The sequence below is a fragment of the Homo sapiens genome, chromosome 11 (assembly GCF_000001405.40).
Source record: "Homo sapiens chromosome 11, GRCh38.p14 Primary Assembly".
NCBI classification, from domain to species: Eukaryota; Metazoa; Chordata; class Mammalia; order Primates; family Hominidae; genus Homo; species Homo sapiens.
Genome location: NC_000011.10, coordinates 16,820,922 through 16,840,028, shown reverse-complemented (window position 1 = coordinate 16,840,028; position 19,107 = coordinate 16,820,922). Strand labels below are relative to the sequence as shown.

Sequence of the window (19,107 nt, the reverse complement as noted above, 5' to 3'; positions counted from 1 at the left end):
CCAGTAGCCTGCGGGGCTTACCTCACAGTGTGGTTGGCATTTCCCCTCTCACCCCAGGAGAAGGAAACTGGGTAGATTTGACACATCTTTCTCCCCAACACAGTCTAGTGCACAGTCTAGTCCCCAACAGTCACTGTTTCCTGGTCTTTATTTTTCATTCTTTTAATATATATATATGTTTACAGTATATGTATGTAGTCATTCCTTGGTATCCATGGAGGACTGGTGCCAGGAAGCCCCACAGATACCAAAATACTCAGTCCCTTATATAAAATGGTGTATTTGCATATAACCTACGCACATACTTTAAATCATTTCTAGATTGCAAGATTACATATAATACCTAATACAATGTAAATGCTATGTAAATAGTTGTTATACTGTATTGTTTAGGCAATAATGACAAGAAAATAAGTCTGCATGTGTTCAGTACAGACAAAACCATCCTTTTTTCCCTCTCTAAATATTTTTAATTTGTGGTTGGTTGAATCCATGGATATGAAACCCTGGATACAGAAGACCAACTATGTATATATGTCTGTGTGTATATATATGTATATATTTATAATTAAGTATATACAAATTATTAAATATATATTAAATGTATATTTAACTATATAATAAATGAAAACATTCTAAATATAAAAATGCAAAAACTGTAAGACGAAGATATCCCAAATCACCTTCCCAAGGTAATCTCTATAATCAGGTTAATTGGCTTTTAAACTATTTTCTATGCATTTATATACGTATGTGGACTTATAGAAATATATAGGATTCTTTTGTGCTTTCTGAAAGCATGAATAATGACATCTGAAGGATCACTCAATATCAGTATATATGAATCACCTTTAATTTTTACTCATATGGTATTTCATAATGTAGATGTACTGTAGTGTATTTTTAAAACCTGTATTTAAAATTTTTGTATTAACCTTCTACAAGCCTCTGCATGTGTGAGTCTTTCAGATTGCTGGGTAAAAGTATAATACATTTTTAATTTTAATCAATACCTCCAAACTGCCCTTTAAAGAAAGCTGTGTGGCCGGGTGCGGTGGCTCACACCTGTAATCCCAGCACTTTGGGAGACCGAGGCGGGTGGCTCATGAGGTCAGGAGATCGAGACCATCCTGGCTAACACGGTGAAACCCCATCTCTACTAAAAATATGAAAAATTAGCAGAGTGTGGTGGTGGGCACCTGTAGTCCCAGCTACTCGGGAGGCTGAGGCAGGAGAATGGCGTGAACCCGGGAGGCAGAGCTTGCAGTGAGCAGAGATCGCACCACTGCCTGGGCAACAGAGCGAGACTGTCTCAAAAAAAAAAAAAAAAAAAAAGAAAACTGTGTATTTCACTAGTGAGTGTGTCATTTCCCCATATCTTTGCCAATAGTTGATGTTATGTCTTAATTTTACTGATCTGATACATAAATAGTATCTGATTATCTTAATTTAATGTATATTTCCATGATGGTTAGGATCTTTTATATTTATTTCCACTTTTTTTTTTTTTTTTTAAGACACAGAGTCTCAATCTATCACCCTGGCTGGAGTGCAGTGGTATGATCATAGTTCACTGCAGCCTCGAACTCCTGGGCTCAAGCAATCCTCCCATGTCAGCCTCCCTAGTAGCTGGGACCTCAGCTGTGGGCCACCACATCATGCCTGGCTAATTTTAAAACATTTTTTAGAGACAGAGGCTCACTATGTTGCCCTGTCTGGTCTTGAATTACTTGCCTCAAGCAATCCTCCTAGCTCAGCCTCCCAAGTAGCTGAGATGACAGTCACCAGCCACCATGCCCAGCTCAATGGGCACGTGTATTTCCTGTTAAGGGAATTGCCTGTATCTATCCTCTGCCCATTTTTCTACTGAGTTGTTTGCCTTTTCTTGCTGCCTCCTTTCCTGTGTGCTCTGAAATCTGCCAGGTTAACATTGCTGCTTAGCCTCTTGCAGAGGTTGATGATAGGCTATGGAATTTGTTTTTCCTCTTCTTTGAAAATCAGAATGCTGTTTGCCAGTTTCTGATAGTCTGGTCTTTTCCCCCTTCCCTTTGATTCCTTGGAGATCACCCAATAGGTTTCTCAAGCCCAATTTCCCTTATGTCACTGGGGCACCACCGATAGTTGGGCCTGGAGCTCAACTACAGGAGAGTAGGGCTTCCTGTTCTTCCTCCCCATCGTGGACTTTCAGGCTCTCTTAACCAGGTTTGTTCCCTTTTTCCTGGTGAAGATCATTCTTCTTAATGAAAATGTGGAATTAAACCCAGAAGCTGGAGAATTCTGCCTTCTCTGTTTATGCTGGGTCATCTTCCCTAAGCAGAGACACCTACATCTCTTTTTTTTAAACCCCCATGTATTTTAATAAATAGAAATTTTGTTTTTGTTTTGTTTTACTTTAAATAAACAAACAGCTCCTTCTAGACTTTACTTTTTCTGCCATTGTTCATGTGGGCCCATTCCACTATGGATTTGTGCCCCGCCTTCCATTTCTTATACATGTCCTTTTATAATTTGAGCTTCAAGAGTTCCCTGTGTTATTACACTAGAGATGGCAAAATGGGTTTCTTCTAGTGTCCCAACTTTGCTCAATTCATTGTGGCTGACTAGGATGCTAGATGAGAGAGAATTTGAGAACGAGATTGAACTTTATAGGAAAAAATGCATGATTGATGAATGATGTCTGGCTAGAACCCTTGAGGATTAATCTAGATAGCTGAGATTTGGGTATTTTTTAGCATCAGATTTTGGTGTTGGAAGGGCTCCTCCCCTTTCCCTAGTCTCAGGCCATTGTATCATCCCTAGTTTTTCTCTGACATTGAGATGTATTCTTATTATGCTCTTAATAAACTCTTAAAACTCCATGATCATGTTTGCACAAGGTTTTGTCCCTTTAAAAATAAAAAACACAGGCCAGGTGCAGTGGCTTATGCCTGTAATCCTAGCACTTTGGGAGGCCGAAGCAGGCGGACAACTTGAGGTCAGGAGTTCGAGACCAGCCTGGCCAACGTGGTGAAACTCCATCTCTACTAAAAATACAAAAATTAGCTGGGCTTGGTGGCGGGTTCCTGTAATCCCAGCTACTCAGAAGGCTGAGGCAGGAGAATCGCTTGAACTCAGGAGGCAGAGGTTTCAGTGAGCCAAGATCATGCCATTGCATTCCAGCCTGGGCGACAGAGTGAGACTTTGTCTCAAAAACAAAACAAAACAAAAAAAACAGAAAAAACAAAAAAAAAAAGCCCAGGAAACTAAAACAAAATAAAAAACACAAGTTTTTCCAGCTTCTGAGTCACAATAAAGACATAATAGCATTTCTCCATAAGTTTCTGAGAGCTGAAATTTTCAGCCAAGCGAATACAGACTTATTAAATGTTCTATTTTTCCAGAATAAGATGTTCAGACATTTGGTTGGTTAAAATTATTCGTCAGGCAGACTAAATCTTGCCTGTCTTCCAGTTTGGTGTTTTGCCTTGGAAAAGCTCCATCTCTGTAAGTGGGTGGCCCCAACAGTAGCATTTCATTCGCTCCCTCTGTGATTCTCACCCAGAGGCTTCTCTCTTTATTCATACAGGCAGGTGCTTCCTTTATTAGTGGTGGTATGTATTAGGACTGTTGACTGCAGATGACAGAAAATACAGAGAAATTTACCTTTAAAAGGAGGGAATTTATTGGTTCATGTCACTGAAAAGCTCAAGATAGACCTGGCTTTAGAAGCAATGGGGTTCAAGGCTCAGACAGTATCACTAGAAGTCATATTCTCAGACTCTGGGCTCTTCCCACCTGTGTGTTAAATTCAGTCTTGAGCTCCACGAGGAGGTCCCTGGCACATCTAGGGCCTGGTGGCAAGATAGCTGCAGTGGGCCCAAACTCATATCATCAAGGTTAAAATCCAGTAGGAAAGAGCCAGAGTCTGGTCTAGAAGCTCTGAGATTCATACTGATTAGACAGGTTTAGTTTACATTTATGTCCCCGACCATCTTCCATGGCCAGGGACAACATCATGCTGATTGCAGAGGCCTGAAACACATGCGTCACTTCTGAGAACCAGGGGTGGAGCCCTATCCAGGCCGCGAGGACTGAGAGTGAGGTGGTGCACATTCCCAAGGAAGTGTTAGGGATCCATGGGCAGAGGACTATGGGCAGAAATGGCTTACTGGGACATGGTAAAGAGGGCATCAGTAATCAATGTCCAGGCCAGCTGATTTATCCCTCACTTCCTGTTATACCTATTTCTTTTGCCTTAGGTATCTCCTCCCAGTGCTTAGTCTCTGAAATCGGATAGACCTGGGTTCAAATCCATGCTCTACTACTTTCTAGCTGTGTCATCTTGTGCAAATTATGCATGCTTTTGAAACCTTGATTTTTCTTAGTTCATAGGCTTGCTACAAGGATTAAATTAAACAAATGTATCAAGTGCTTACTTAGTCCAGTGCCTGAGACATAGTAGGTGCTCCCTATCAGCTGTATTAACTTCCATAGGATTTGCTTTGACAGTATCTTCAGTTGTTTTCTCTTTACCCTCTTCCAGTTTCATCATTAATTCCTAGATCTCAATGATGAGTCTCCTATGGACAAACTGCACTCTCTTCTCTGCCAGGATGTACTCATCTCCTAGCAGTGTGAGTTGTTCAACAGTTCAGGGTCCCTACAGCCCCATCCCTCAGTCCTATTTGTCTTCAGCTCCCACTTCCCCCAGCCTCTTCCTATTCTTCTGGCCCAGGAGCAGAGCTAAGAGTCCTCACTGCAACTCTCACTTTTTTATTTGAGACAAAATCTCGCTCTGTCACCCAGGCTGGAGTGCGGTGGCATGATCTTGGCTCACTGCAACCTCTGCCTCCCAGGCTCAAGTGAACCTCCCACCTCAGCCTCCCAAATAGCTAGGACTACAGGCATGTGCCACCGTGCCTGGCTCATTTTTTGTATTTTTTGTAGAGATGAGGTTTCACCATGGTGCCCAGGCTGGCCTCGAACTCCTGGGTTCAAGTGATCCACCTACCTCAGCCTCCCAAATTGTTAGGATTACAGGCATGAGCCACCGCGCCTAGCCTGTACCTCTGACTTTTGTTCTCTTGTTTGTTACACAGGCTTCAGAATTCCATGATAGACATTAATTCCAGTATTTTTGAGATCCCACGCCACGTGCTGTGAGGGATACCCTGCACTCCTGGCAGGGCCTGCTCTCTGCCCCCGCCCCCCCAAGTAATCTTCTGCCTCACGTCCATATTCTTCTACTGGCCATGCTGTGGACTCTGGTTTTTGATTCTCAACAACCTTTTTGAAATCTGTCTTACTGACTTCCGCCATAATACTGCCTTTTCTGTCTTGTCTAAGGATGTTTTTTCCTCTCTAATAAGCTAAAGCACCAACTAAGGAGGTTATTTGGCATTTACAGCTTACAAAACTGAGAAGTGACTCAGGCAGGAGGGCATATCAGAAAACAACTCATCTTTTTTCTCAATTTCCTAACCTCTGTGTTATCTGGAGTAGCTGCAGTCCTGTCTTGGGACTAAAGAAACTTGTAGTAGAGTCACCTTTAGAATAAAGTCCAATTTCCTTAGTAAGTCTTTGGAAACCCTGCATGGGCCTGGTCCCTACAAACACCTTTGGTTCATCTCTTGCCATTTCCCATTCTCTGTGGTATGCTGAACTTCTTTCATCAACTTGAATTGGTGCATTTGTTCATGCATTCATCCATTTAGTCTTTTATTCTATAAATATTTATTAAGGGTGGCCAGGCATGGTGTCTCATGCCTGTAATCCCAGCACTTTGGGAGGCCTAGGCAGGCGGATCACCTGAAGTCAGGGGTTTGAGACCAGCCTGGCCAACATGGCAAAATGCTGTCTCTACTAAAAATACAAAAATTAGCATGTTGGCACATGCCTGTAATCCCAGCTACTCAGGAGGCTGAGACAGGAGAACCGCTTGAACCCGGGAGGAGGAGGTTGTAGTGAGTCGAAACCGCGCCACTGCACTCCAGCCTGGGTGATAGAGCAAGACTCCATCTCGAAAAACAAAACAAAACAAACAAACAAAAAACATATATCTATATATAAAACTCCTGAGCTCAGGTGATCCACCCACCTTGGCCTCCCAAAGTGCTGGGATTACAGATGTGAGCCACCGTGCCCGGCCACTTTTATTACCTTTCATGAAAGAAAAATGTCTCTAGCTCTGTGGGTTTGTGTGATGATAAGAAGAGGTGGTAAAGTGCTTAGCTCAGAGTTTTGCATTTAGTAAGTGCTCAGTCAGTGATGGCTGCCGCTGCCAGATTCCTGTCCTTTATTAGAGTCCATTTATTATAGGTAATCCGGTAGTCGTGTGTGCCCTCAGCCTCTCTGGGCTCAGTCCTGACCTTGCAGAATTGTTACAGGGATTGCAGGTTGTCCATGACAGATTCCTAGCACACAGTAGGGCCTAGCATATGGTAACAATAACCAAGCCATGGCCATTAAAAAAATGTATCTCCCAGAACGGGAGTGCTGGTTTCCCTGGGGAGGTGGAAAGTGAGTGAGCGTGGTGTGTGCTAGAGCTTCAGGGTGGCTCAGGTTGAGCTGTGACTGGTGGCATGGCTTACCCAGGTAGAAGAAAGAGAGAAGGATTCTTCAGGCAGGAATGAATAAAGTGAGGAGGGCTGGCAGGCCTGGAATAGCTTTTTTCCTCTTCTTAGTCTGGTTTGTCAATCCCTACAACTTTAAAAGGGATTTTGCCAATAGCTGCTCTACTGAGGCAGGAGGCAGCCTCAGCCTAGCATTCTGGTTTGTTTCGTTTATTCTGCAGCCTCGCTCTTCTCTGTGGGAGGGAGGCCTGAAGGATTGTGGAGGGTGTCATCAAAGCTGTCAAGCCCTCTTGTTAATTTAGGCAAAGCACAGCATGAAAAGTAGCAGGCTATTCTCCCTCCATCCCAAGGGAGCTGCCCTATTTAACTCTGGGGAAAAGAAGAAACTAACTCCCTTCTCCATTTCTCCCTGGCTATCTCCTTCCTCAAATGCTAGGAACTCATTCAAAAGAGCGAGCCTGCCTTAGGGTGCTCCACATACTTTGGGCTTCTTTCTCTTCAGTCTTTTGTACAAGTCTATTGATTATGCCCAGAGTGGGTTCTGGCTTTTGAGCCCACCCTATTCCTGAGACTGCAGATCAGTGCTCAGGACCCAGGATCTGTTAACACAGGCTGAGCTGGTTTCCCATGGCAAGACTTCATCATCTGGCCTGGCTCAGATCCAACTCTCCAAGACTCTCAGTGGCCTGGGTTCTTGTTCTTAGGCTCCTAGTTTGGTCATTTAGGTAAGGTGAGCAGGGAGGGATCCCTCCAGTGGGATTACAACAGAAAGGCTGTGTTGGACATCAGGACTAAGGTTCAATCAAGCCCCTACAAGCTGTCATTCCTCTTCCCATCTCAGTCTTTGAATGAGATTGAATGTGTGTGGGGTGTGTGTGCATTTAGCATTAAGATAGGAGGAAATATTCCTCATTGCCTGATGAGATAAATGATTTGGAGGCAGAATAAAATAATAATCAGTGCACAGTTGCTTGGTAAGATCTGTTAACATTCAAGTTCTTGTGAAGAAAAGAAATAAGAGAGAAGTATCGCCAGTCTGAGGTATGTGCTCTTCCCACTTGCAAGGGAAAATAAGAATTTGCTCTAAACAGACAAATAGCATTCTGTGATATGCTAGAAATGCTGGGGCCCAACCCCAGTCAATGATAAGAGTAGCCCCTTGTAACAGTTAGGGGTCATGTTTGGTTGCTAGAAATAGAACAACCCAATTTAAGGTGGCATAATCAAATTGGATTTTAGTTTTCTCCCATAGCAGGAATCCAGGGTTAGTCAGTAGGTTGGTACAGTAGCACTGTGATGCAATCAGGGACGTGGGCTTTTTATCACCTTCTACCCAGCTTTTTAGCATATGACTTGCATCCTTATTTTTATCACTTTGCAATTCAGCAAAGTCTAAATCCCAGGCAGGAAGAAGAGAAGGGTTAGCTAAGCTTGCCTTCTTGTAAAGACTTTCCTGGAGGACTCCGCCTAGCAATTTATGCTTATATCTTATTGGCCAAAGCTATGTTATATGATCATCCTCAGCTACAAGGGAGATTGGGAAATGTAAGTGTTTTGCTGGGTACATTGCGACTTTCAAAAAATTGGGGCAAGGGAGGAGGGAATACCTACTGGGTAGTGAAGACATTTGTATCTGAGGGCATACTGTGTGCCAGACACTGTGCTGTGCTGTTTCTGTGCACCATTAATCCTCACAACAACCCAAGGAGACACTGTTATCCCATTTTATAGATGAGGAACTTGAAACTAGAGAGGTCACTTGCCCAAGGTCACACAGCTTATATGTGGTGGAACCAGTTCTTGAATCTAGGTCCAGCTGGTTCTAAAACCTGTGCCAGCTGTTATTTTCAAAAAGTGACACATATGGCCAAAATGGCCACTGAGTGTCAGGAATTTCCTGTGTTTTTGAACAGTGACCGGTTTCAGATGTTCACGATCGTAGCAATGACCTGCATGGGAACAGCAGCCCAGCTGGGAAAGGCTTGTGTTTTCTTAGCTAAACATCTCTGCTTTGCATGGCCAAGCTGCCTGAGTAATACAGTCATTGACGGCCGAGGGGTGCTTCATTCCTTCCCATCGTTGTGCTAAATCGAGCATTGCAGATCTGTTTTGTGACAAGTGTCACAAATTTGAGAGGTCATGTGTTAAGTTGTTGGGAATGCAAGGAGACAGGGAGAATACCAAAAAACCTTTTTGACCTTAAATTCCATAACTTAGTAAGTTAAATGTTCAGGTCTGGTAAGGTGGGGGAGTAGGGAATATTACTTTCACCTTTCTTACCTGCAGCCACAGCCTGAACATTTTGGGAACAAAGGTGCATTTTATGTAAGTCCCGGGAGCCATGGGAATAAGGAGCTGTTCATAACCCCAAAGTCTTCAGGGCTAGAAAACTGCCCAGTGGCAAGCTGACTGCCATTCGCTCTGCCACCCTCTAAAGCTTTGTTTTGCAATAAATGCTGGTATTAATTTAAAGAAAATGATTTATCATCCTCTGTCAAATTTATTTCCAGGAAGCACTGGCATATATGGAAGTGTATATACTCATGTACATACATAGTAAGGACTAAGAATTATGGTTAAATTAGCTCCAAGCTTAGGGAAGACTAACAGACTCCATGATTTGAGGGTCAGGTGTTTATGGGAACAGTATTCAATGTGGTTACCATAATTAAGTTGGGCTCCAGGGTTGTCTGACTTTGAAGGCAAAGGCTATTTTCTTTGCTACTCTCTTATAGTCCCAGGTGCCTGTCCCAGTGGGGGCTGTATAGGTGCTTGGTAAATACATGGTGAATGGTTAGGGAAGGAAGAAAAATCCACATTACAATTGGTTGGACTGAGACATTGTGCCCACAATCTTTGGGTCCCAGAGTTGAAGAATCCTTCATTTCCTCTCAATTCTAATGTCATACACATAGGTGGCATATTTGTTTCACTGTCTGGCTTTTATGACAAGGTGCTCTTTATCTTTGGAGTGTGAATAACAAGGAGATACAATTACCTGGGTATCACAATTGGAGTAACCACTTAGAAATATCAGAGCAAGTGAAACCAAAGCAGCATGCAAGATTCTAAATCTTCAGCGACTTGGCCAGGGTGTGATCCAGAGGGCAGCTGGAGCCTTCATCATCTCCGAAGTAGCCTCAGCACATCCTCTATGGGTAGTTTCCTGGATGTGAGAAATAATAAAGAAAATAGGCCTGGCACAGTGGTTGGTGCCTGTAATCCCAGCACTTCTGGAAGCTGAGGTGGGAGGATTGCTTGAGCTCAGGATTTCAAGACTAGCCTGGGCAACAAAGAAAGACCTTGTCTCTACAAAAAAAAAAAATTAAAAATTAGCCAGACATGGTGGCAGGCGCCTGTGGTACCAGTTACACAGGAGTCAGAAGTGGAAGGATCACTTGATCCCAGGAGGTTGAGGCTGCGGTGAGCTCTGTTCACGCTAGTGCATTCCAGCCTTGGTGACGGAGTGGGACCCTGTATCAGAAAAAGAAAAAAAAAAAGAATGGCCAACTTAGGCAACTTGAGGACTGTTGGTTCAGTTTACACTAATCTAGTTATGGAGGCTTAAAGGGAGAAAGGAAAGACAAAGCTAAAACCTATCGTGTGAAAAAAAGAAAAAAGAAAAAAGAAACCTGTCATATGTACATTGTGGAACAGAGTTGTCCCTTTATAAACTTACGGTAAGAATTACTTTTTCTTTTTTGAGGCGGAGTCTTGCTCTGTTGCCCAGGCTGGAGCACAGTGGTGCAATCTCAGCTACTGCAACCTGTGCCTCCCAGGTTCAAGCGATTCTCCTGCCTCAGCCTCCTGAGTAGCTGGGGCTACAGGTGCACACCACCATGCCCAGCTAATTTTTGTATTTTTAGTAGAGATGGGGTTTCACCATGTTGGTCGGGCTGGTCTTGAACCCCTGACCTCAGGTGATTCACCTCCCTTGGCACGCCACTGCACCCGGCTGAATTACTTTTTCTGTAAGTATGGGCTCCTGAATATTTCCCGTATTTTCCTCCTACTGGAATTTATAGAGCCACTGAATGTTAACAATGAATGGGCCCTCACTCATTACTATCTCAATATGTCATTGTGAAATGATTAATAGGCAGGACCCCTTTCAGTATAAGTAGCAGAAACCAAACTCTAACAACTGAAAAAGGGAATTTAGGCCCCCGGCAGGGTGGCTCACGCTTGTAATCATAAAACTTTGGGGGGCTGAGGCAGGTGGATCACTTGAACCCAGGAGTTTGAGACCAGCCTGGGCAACATAGCAAGACCCAGTCTCTACAGATTTTTTTTTTTTTTAATTAGCAGAGCTAATTAAAACATGCATGCACCTGTAGTCCCAGCTACTCAGGAGGCTGAGGTGGGAGGATCACTTGAGCCCAGCAGATCAAGGCTGCAGTGAGCCGTGATCATTGCCACCGCACTCCAGCCTGGGTGAGAGAGCAAGACGCTGTGAAAAAAAAAAGAAGGAATTTATTTATTCACAACCAGAAAATCCAAAGAGATATCTGGTTTACATATGGTTAGATGTAGGAGCTTAAGCCAAGTTTTTAGGATTCTATGTTTCTCCATCTGCTTTCCTTTGTGTTAACTTCATTCTCAAGTAGTGCCTTCCCACATAGTTGCAGCAGCTCCAACCCAAGTCCCAGGGCTAACTCTGATTGGCCTGGAGTAGTCAACTCCTGAACCAGTCACTGAGACTGTGGAGCCTCAGCTGGACAGGGAGTCAGCAGCACCTGAACCACCTGGACTGAGGGTAGGAGAAAGTGATTCCCAAATGAAAATTGAAATGCTGTTATCAGAAGGGCAGTGGATACAGTGTGGGGGTTGGAGAGGAAAGATGTCCTCTGTTGGATAAAAGGAGTTCCAAAGATGCATTATTTTTTTCCACAAAGCTTGGGGTTTCCATGGAAAAGACATTGGTACGTGAACAGCGAGAAGAATGCTTGCTTTTCTCAGTTCTCTCTGTATATTAGTCCATTCTCACACTGCTATAAAGAACTGCCTGAGAATGGGTAATTTATAAAGGAAAGAGGTTTAATTGACTCACAGTTCCACATGGCTGGGGAGGCCTCAAGAAACTTACAATCATGGTGGAAGGGAAAGCAAACATGTCCTTCTTTGCATGATGGCAGGAAGGAGAAGTGCCAAGCAAAAAGAGAAAAGACGCTTCTAAAACCGTCAGATCTCATGAGAACGCACCCACTGTCAGGAGAACAGCATGAGGGTAACCTACCTCATGATTCAATTTCCTCCCACCAGGTCCTTCCCACGACACATGGGGATTATGGGAACTACAGTTCAAGATGAGATTTGGGTGGGGACACAGCCAAACCATATCACTCTGCCTAAGTTAAAGGCAACAGACCCACACACAGTGAGAAGCAGATCCCATGTGGAGGGTTGTATTTTCACGTTATGTTGGCATTGTAACTAGCTCTCAGGGTGAGTTGCTTCTGCGCTGAATCTGTGTTGTTTATTGATAGCTGAGGTTCTGAAGTTGTTGCAAAGACACCTGGGGTGTGGCCACCGAAATGTAAATGCAGTAGCATTTCTATTATGTACTCTCATGTTGAGATGAAAACGCCTCTGGCTTGGCCATTTTGAGTGATGGATCTTAAGGCTAGGACCTTTTTTTTTTTTTTTTTAACCATGGAGTATAGCTAAACCAGCTGCCCCATCTAAGTAAACGTCTTTGTTATTTTTTCTAGTCCATCTGAGCTGAGCTGGAGCAAGTTCTCTTGCCTCCCTAATCTAAATTCTGCAAAGCTTGTGGAGCCACTATTGTATCCCTGGTGCCAGGTGATCAGGATGCAGACAACTAGGACCCTGCCCCAAGGAGGCAGAGAGAAGGGCAGCTTACAGAGGGAGATGGACCATGAAAGAGGAGCCCTCCACCATGTACCAAAGCTCCTCCTGTAGCCTCAGTTCACACCCTGACCTATCACCCCTCCCCATTCTCCTTTATAGCTTCCAGGTTTGCACAGACACATGTGGAGAGGCAGTAGAGCAAAGCCTAACACACATGGGCTCTGGAGTCTACCTGGGTTTAAGCCCAGGCTCCACTCTGTTCCAGCTGTTTGATCTTGAGCAAATAATCGATCTTCTCTGTGAGTCAGTTTCCTTATTGCTAAAATCTGACTAATAATACTTCACAGAATTGTTGTAGATAGTCATTGAGAGTTGTTTCTGTTTGAACTGTTCCCTGATAAGATAGAAACAGGTTGCTATTCACATACAGTGGTTGCTGTGCCTGTTCTCTATTCGCCATCTTTGAAGAGTGTTAATTATGCTATCATTTGTACTTTGGGCTGTGTTAGACACCAGTGGGAGGGATCCTGAGCTCAGGAGCCTTCCATTTAAGCCCCAAATGGACAAATTGCAAAAGGAAAAGGCAAGATCAGTAGCACAGAGTAGAATAGGAGCACAGGAGTGGTCTTCATGGGAATGTCACATGTATAATTTATTCATTCTCTCTTGCAGTAGTAGTTACGGAGTGCCTATTCCATACCAGTCACTGTGTAGAAGTTCTGGGCTTATGATGATCAGCCAGGTGGGCCACTGGCCGAAAATAACTCATAGTTTATTTGGGAGCTAGATGAGTAAACAAAGTTATGGTTCAGTGCGATTAGTGTGACAGTGGGGTCAGCATAAGATCCTATTCTAAATTGGAAGTGTATGTCAGGGTGGCTTCCTGGAGGAGGTGGTGTTAAGCCAGATCCCCAAAGGAGCAGAAGTTAGGCAGGCAGAGTGAGGACATGAGCATGAAAGGCGTTCTGAGCAGAGGGAATAGCCTGTGCAAAGGCCTGCAGGTGATTGAGTGTACAGTGCATTTCATCATGGAGTCTTGGCTGTGGAGCAAACTGAATGTGCTGCTGTCATTGCAGGGATATGGAGAAGGTGGAGCGGCAGGCTGTCCCCCAGGCCAACCACACAGAGTCCTGTCACGAATGTGGCCGGGTGGGACCCGGACATACGAGAGATTGTCCTCATCGTGGCCATGATGACATTGTCAACTTCGAGAGGCAGGAGCAGGAGGGAGAGCAGTACCGTTCCCAGAGGGACCCACTGGAGGGCAAGCGGGACCGGAGCAAGGCCAGGTCTCCGTACTCGCCAGCCGAGGAGGATGCCTTGTTTATGGATTTACCCACTGGCCCAAGAGGCCAGCAGGCACAGCCCCAACGGGCAGAGAAGAATGGAATGCTGCCTGCCTCATATGGCCCAGGAGAACAGAATGGGACTGGTGGGTACCAGCGGGCCTTTCCTCCCAGGACCAACCCTGAAAAACACAGCCAAAGGAAGAGCAATCTGGCCCAGGTGGAGCACTGGGCAAGGGCCCAGAAAGGGGATAGCAGGAGGTGAGTAATAGACTCAGGATCGCTGCTTATAACGAGCACGATAATGTAGTGGCAAGAGCTGTCATTTAGCCAGCACTTGCTGCGTAAGGGCAGCCTTAAACTCTTTACTGCCATTACCTACGTAAATCCCTGTAACAACCCTGCAAGAAAGGGTGATATTCCTAACTTATAGACAGAAACTGAGGCTTGGAGAAGTGAAGGAACCTGCCCACAGCACACAGCTGGTAAGGCCAGAGTTCAGTCCTGGGTCTGTGAGCCTCCAAGGCCTCCATGCGATTACACCAGAGTCTCTTCGGCTCCTCAGAGAGAATGCCTTGAGACATTCAGCATGTAAATGATAATCGATCTTTTCCTTTTGTGCTGCTACTTCTCTACATCCAAAAAAATGTTTATAGAAACTAGAGTAAATACAGATTCATTTTTAATTCCAGGCACATACAGAAGTGCGTAGGCACTGTTGACATTGGGCTTTATCAGACCCATTCCTTCAAGAAGTTTTTAATTATTTAGAAGGCATGCATCTCTTGCTATTTGCCAAGCACTGTCTGTATTTTATTATAATTTCAGATTAATTAGGACACATTTCTGAATGTGAAGAATTCAGGGTCACTAGCTTCCCCGTTGTCCCCAGAAGCCACTGTGCTTTGTCTTCATTATGAAAGACGTGACAGATTCCCCTCACTATTTTCAGGCTTCTAAACAAATCACTGACAAAAGAGGAGATAGCAAAGCCAATGTGCATTCAGAGAGCTCCCCAGGGATTGCAGCGGATGCGCCAGCATCCAGACCAAGTCTGCCACAGGCCTGATAACATGCTCTGAAAGGCCACACTTCATTCTCCCTGTTGGCCAGGCCCAGACTTTCTACCTGTGGACTCTGGAGGTGGTCAGTGCTCCTAGGGGAATAGCCTAGTCCTGTTTTCAAGTATGTGGGTGTGTTATGCATATGTACGTTGCTGTAACCTCTTTAATCTGGTCCAGCTGGGCAGTTGTGAGAGTGGATGGTGGATAAATCACAATGGAGCCTTCCTAAGTAACTGATAAGACATTGTTGTGGAGCAGACTAGAAGAGAAGGCCTGTTGTGCTGTAGCTAAGACACCTTCCCATTCCCAACTGAGAATGACCAGGTGTCAATCCTGTTTGTTCACATTTTGTGTCTTATTAATAAAACAGAAAGCTACTGTCTGAGGACACAGGGAAGGGAAGCTGCTCTTCTTGGTGCCGGCCTAAGTAGGCCCCTGGTAGGTGGTTGTAAGATGACGTTACTGCTGAGTGAGGTTGGAAAGTTGGCAGGGGTAATGTAATGTAGGTCCTCATACTCCAAAGTAAGGCATTTGAATTTTATTTGAAAAAGCAATAGGGAACCACGGGAAGGTTTTAAGCAGGTAAGTGATATGATCTGATGAATATTTCACAAAGAAGGTAAGAGCCTAGGAAGGAGGCTATTGCAGTAGTCCAGGAGGGTGACAATGGAAATAGGATGAATAAACCAATTTGAGATACATTTTGGAGGTTGAAACAGCGACACTCGTAAGTGAATTCGAATGCGGGATGAAGGAAACAACAAGGATGATGTCTAGAATTTTAAAAACTTTGTTTAATTTTTGTGGGTACATGAGATCTTTTGATACAGGCATGCAATGCATAATAATCACAGGGTAACTGGGGTGTCCATCACCTCGGGCATTTATCATTTCTTTGTGTTATAAACATTTCAGTTATACCCTTTTAGTTATTTTTTATTTTTTAAATTAAAATAAAGATGTAATCTTGCTATGTTGACCAGGCTGGATTCGAACTCCTGGCCTTAAGCCATCTTGGCCTCCCAAAGTGCCGAGATTATAGGCATGACCCACTGCACCTGACCCCTTTTAGTTATTTTTAAATGTACAATAAATTATTGTTGACTATAATCATCCTGTTATGCTATCAAATACTAGCTCTTATTGATTCTATCTAACTATATTTTTGTACCCATTAAGCATCCCTACTCCCCCCTGCCCACTACCCTTCCCAGCCTCTGGTAACCATTATTCTACTCTATCTCCATGAGTTCAATTGTTTTAATTTATAGCTCTCACAAATGAGTGAGAACATGCAAAGTTTGTCTTTTTGTGCCTGGCATATTTCACTTAACATAATGTCCTCCAGTTCCATCTATGTTGTTGCAAATGACAGGATTTCATTCTTTTTTAAGGCTGAACACTACTCCACTGAGTATAAATACCACATTTTGTTTATCCGTTCATCTGTTGATGGACACTTAGGTTGCTTCCAAATCTTGGCTATTGTGAATAATGCTACAATAAACAGATCTATAGAATTTTGACTTGAGCAACTGGACGGTTACTGAGATAGGGAAGGGTAAGGAAGGAACAAGTTGGGGGAAATCAGGATTTCCATTTTGGACATGTAAGTAGGGAGTTGGAGTTCTGGACATGGGTGGAGTTGGAGTTAGCATTCAGATTTGGCTTGGTTAATAGGTAGATATGGTGCTGTGCAGCAGATACAAGCATAGGTAAGAGACATGAGCTTGGCGAGGAAAGTGGTACTTTGGGAATATCCAGGTAGAGATGATCAGGAGGCTATAGGGAATGTGGGTACAGTCTGTAGAGGAATTCTAGAGTCATTGCCTTAGAGATGGTAACTAATACCCTGGCAGTAGTTGAGATTACCCAGGGTGGAATGCTTACAGCCATGTTCCTTAATCCTGTCTGCATGATTTGATCATTTGAGGCCCAACGCCAGAGATTTTGATGTAGTTGATCTGGGGTGAGGTCAAGGTATCAGTATGTTTTAAAAGCTCCTTAGGTTGACCAGGTATGGGGGTTGATACCTATAATCCCAGCACTTTGGGAGGCCGAGGTGGTAGGATCGCTTGAGTCCAGAAGTTTGAAACCAACCTGGGCAACATAGCAAGACACCATCTCTACCAAAAAAATTTTTTTGTTTTTTAAATTATCTGGATGTGGTGGCATGCACCTGTGGTCCCAGCTACTTGGGAGGCTAAGGCGGGATAATCACTTGAGCCCATGAGTTCAAGGCTGCAATGAGTTATGATTGTACCACTGCACTCCAGCCTGGATGATAGAGCAAAAACCTGTCTCCAAAAAATAAATAAATAAATAAATAAATAATACATACATACAACTCCCTAGGTGATTCCAGTGCATGTCCACAGTCAAGAAACTGTTGCTAGGCTGCACATTGGAATCACCTGGAGAGTTTTAACATTTGGTGAGGCCTTGGTCCCCTGCGCAGAAATCTGACTCCATTGGTCTGGGTTGCAGCCTGGACATAAGGGTTTTAGGAAGCACATTTTCCCCTATCCCTCTTCCCCCAGTGATCTAATGTGCAGCCAGGACTAAGAATCCTCAACTGAGAGAGCACAGTTGCAGAGGGCCAACAACAGAACACTGAGGACCCCTAGCCTAAGGGTCAGGCAAAAGCTAAGTCACCTGAAGGAGATGAAGAGAAGATGGGGGAGGAAAACTGGAGGTTTTGTTGGGGAGAGTTTCAACTGGAAGGAGTCCAGTCAGCAGTGCACGGTGCTGCAGGTAAGGACTTCCACCTGGGCGTGGTGCCTTCTTTCCTTTTTTTTTTTTTTTTTTTTTTTTCCCCTACCAAAAGCAGACACTTGAGATGTGGTACCTTTCAAGGAGGCTGGGCACCCCTGAAGGAAAGTCCAGAACCTCACGGGTCTTTTGCTCAGTAACAGAAACCCTTTTTCCACTGAGCTGCTTGATGGGCTTAGATGGGCAAACCTGAATTACCATGCTTAACAGAGCTACAGGGTCAAAGTTAGCTCAGGACGCAGAGTAAAAGGAGGGGTTGAAATCAGTAAGACGGCATGGCCAGTGAGAAACTCTTTGTGGCAGGGGCACAGAAAAAACTTTCAAAAGCTGGGTGACTGATATGCAGTGATAAGTTGTCAGTTATGAAATGTCTCCGCATAACTGCTCCAGCAGCCTGTAAACCATGTTATTCTGCTACACACAACGGCCTGAATTTGAGAGTTGGGAGTGGGGTGTGCACCAGAGACCTAAAGGATGAGAAGTTAACAGGGAAATGAGAGGTGGGTGGGGAGGGCATAGGACTTTCCCTGGGATGCAAGATGGGGATTTGAGCCATTCTTATCTAAGGGGAAGGGAGACATCAGGTCTGTAGAGGAGAACAGCTCATTGGCTTTAGAGGTCACTGAGCACACAGTGAGAGGAATTTCATTCCAGTAGGGCAAGCAGATCTCAATGGGCTAGAAAGTGAATAAAAGTGAAGAATTGAAGGCAGAAGACAGAACAGAAAATGCTGTCAATCTTTAAGTGAGCAAAGTGTCTCAGTCTCTGATTATCCTCTTGTATTTTAAAAGGTCTGCCTCTTATAGTCCCAGATTTTTTTTTTCTTAAAGATATATTTGTAGTCTCTTACAGTTAGTCATAAATAGATCTAGGTGCTGAATAAAGGAACTCCTCCATTTTCCATTTGAAAATATATGAGATAGATATCTCTGCTTTGCATATCATCAAGACTGCTAATCTCATTAGACTGAGCACATTAAGACATTGGGAGGAAGGTTATTTGAACTGCAATATGATCCTGTATTTTTGGCTTTAAACCAACAGGGAAGTATTTCTAATTGGAGATACAAATTTCACATTAAACTTTTTTAGGATATGGTTTGTGGGAGACAGACTGACACACTCTTAGAATCTCACTGTATTTTAAGAGCTTGTTTTGAAATTTTAGGCTTTCATTTTCCCACCCTGACCTCCCAGTGTTTAAAGTAATGCATACTTGTAAAATAGAAATGTTGGGGTGAGGGATAGAGTTAGGATCAGGAGACTCAAACACTACAATAAGGAACAGAGTAGAAAATGGAAGTCCTGTGTGATTGATCTGGAAGTTAGGGTGAGGAACATCTGCTGAGTAAAGTATAATAATTTGTTGCAAAAAATGATATTGCATCTCCACATGACCATTTCTGTAATGGCTGTATCAGAATATCCTGTTTAGTGCCTGTTCAGTGACAGGGAGTCCCTGTGGCCACAGAGCATGGTATAAGGAGACCTTGAGCCCAGTTTTTGGGTAAGACCGGAGGTTAGGGGGCCAGCAAATGGATCTGCTGTTAGGGGCAAAGCTGCTCTGGAAGCACCCACTTGCTCGCATGGGGTCTATACCTCAACCACAGTACCACCTCCTCC

General features: G+C 44.0%; 1 protein-coding gene across 38 annotated transcripts in view; it reads left to right on the top strand.

Moving 5' to 3' along the window:
• PLEKHA7 (pleckstrin homology domain containing A7) overlaps window positions 1-19,107 on the top strand; it is a 237,118-nt gene that overhangs the window by 174,386 nt on the left and 43,625 nt on the right. For all 38 annotated transcript variants that reach the window (XR_007062454.1, XM_047426441.1, NM_001329630.2 and 35 more), the window contains one exon: window positions 13,439-13,909. Coding sequence is in view for 37 of the 38 variants with exons in the window: in XM_047426441.1 (XP_047282397.1) it covers window positions 13,439-13,909 (471 nt within the window). In the remaining variant the exon portion in view is untranslated. The remainder of the gene's footprint in view (window positions 1-13,438; window positions 13,910-19,107) is intronic.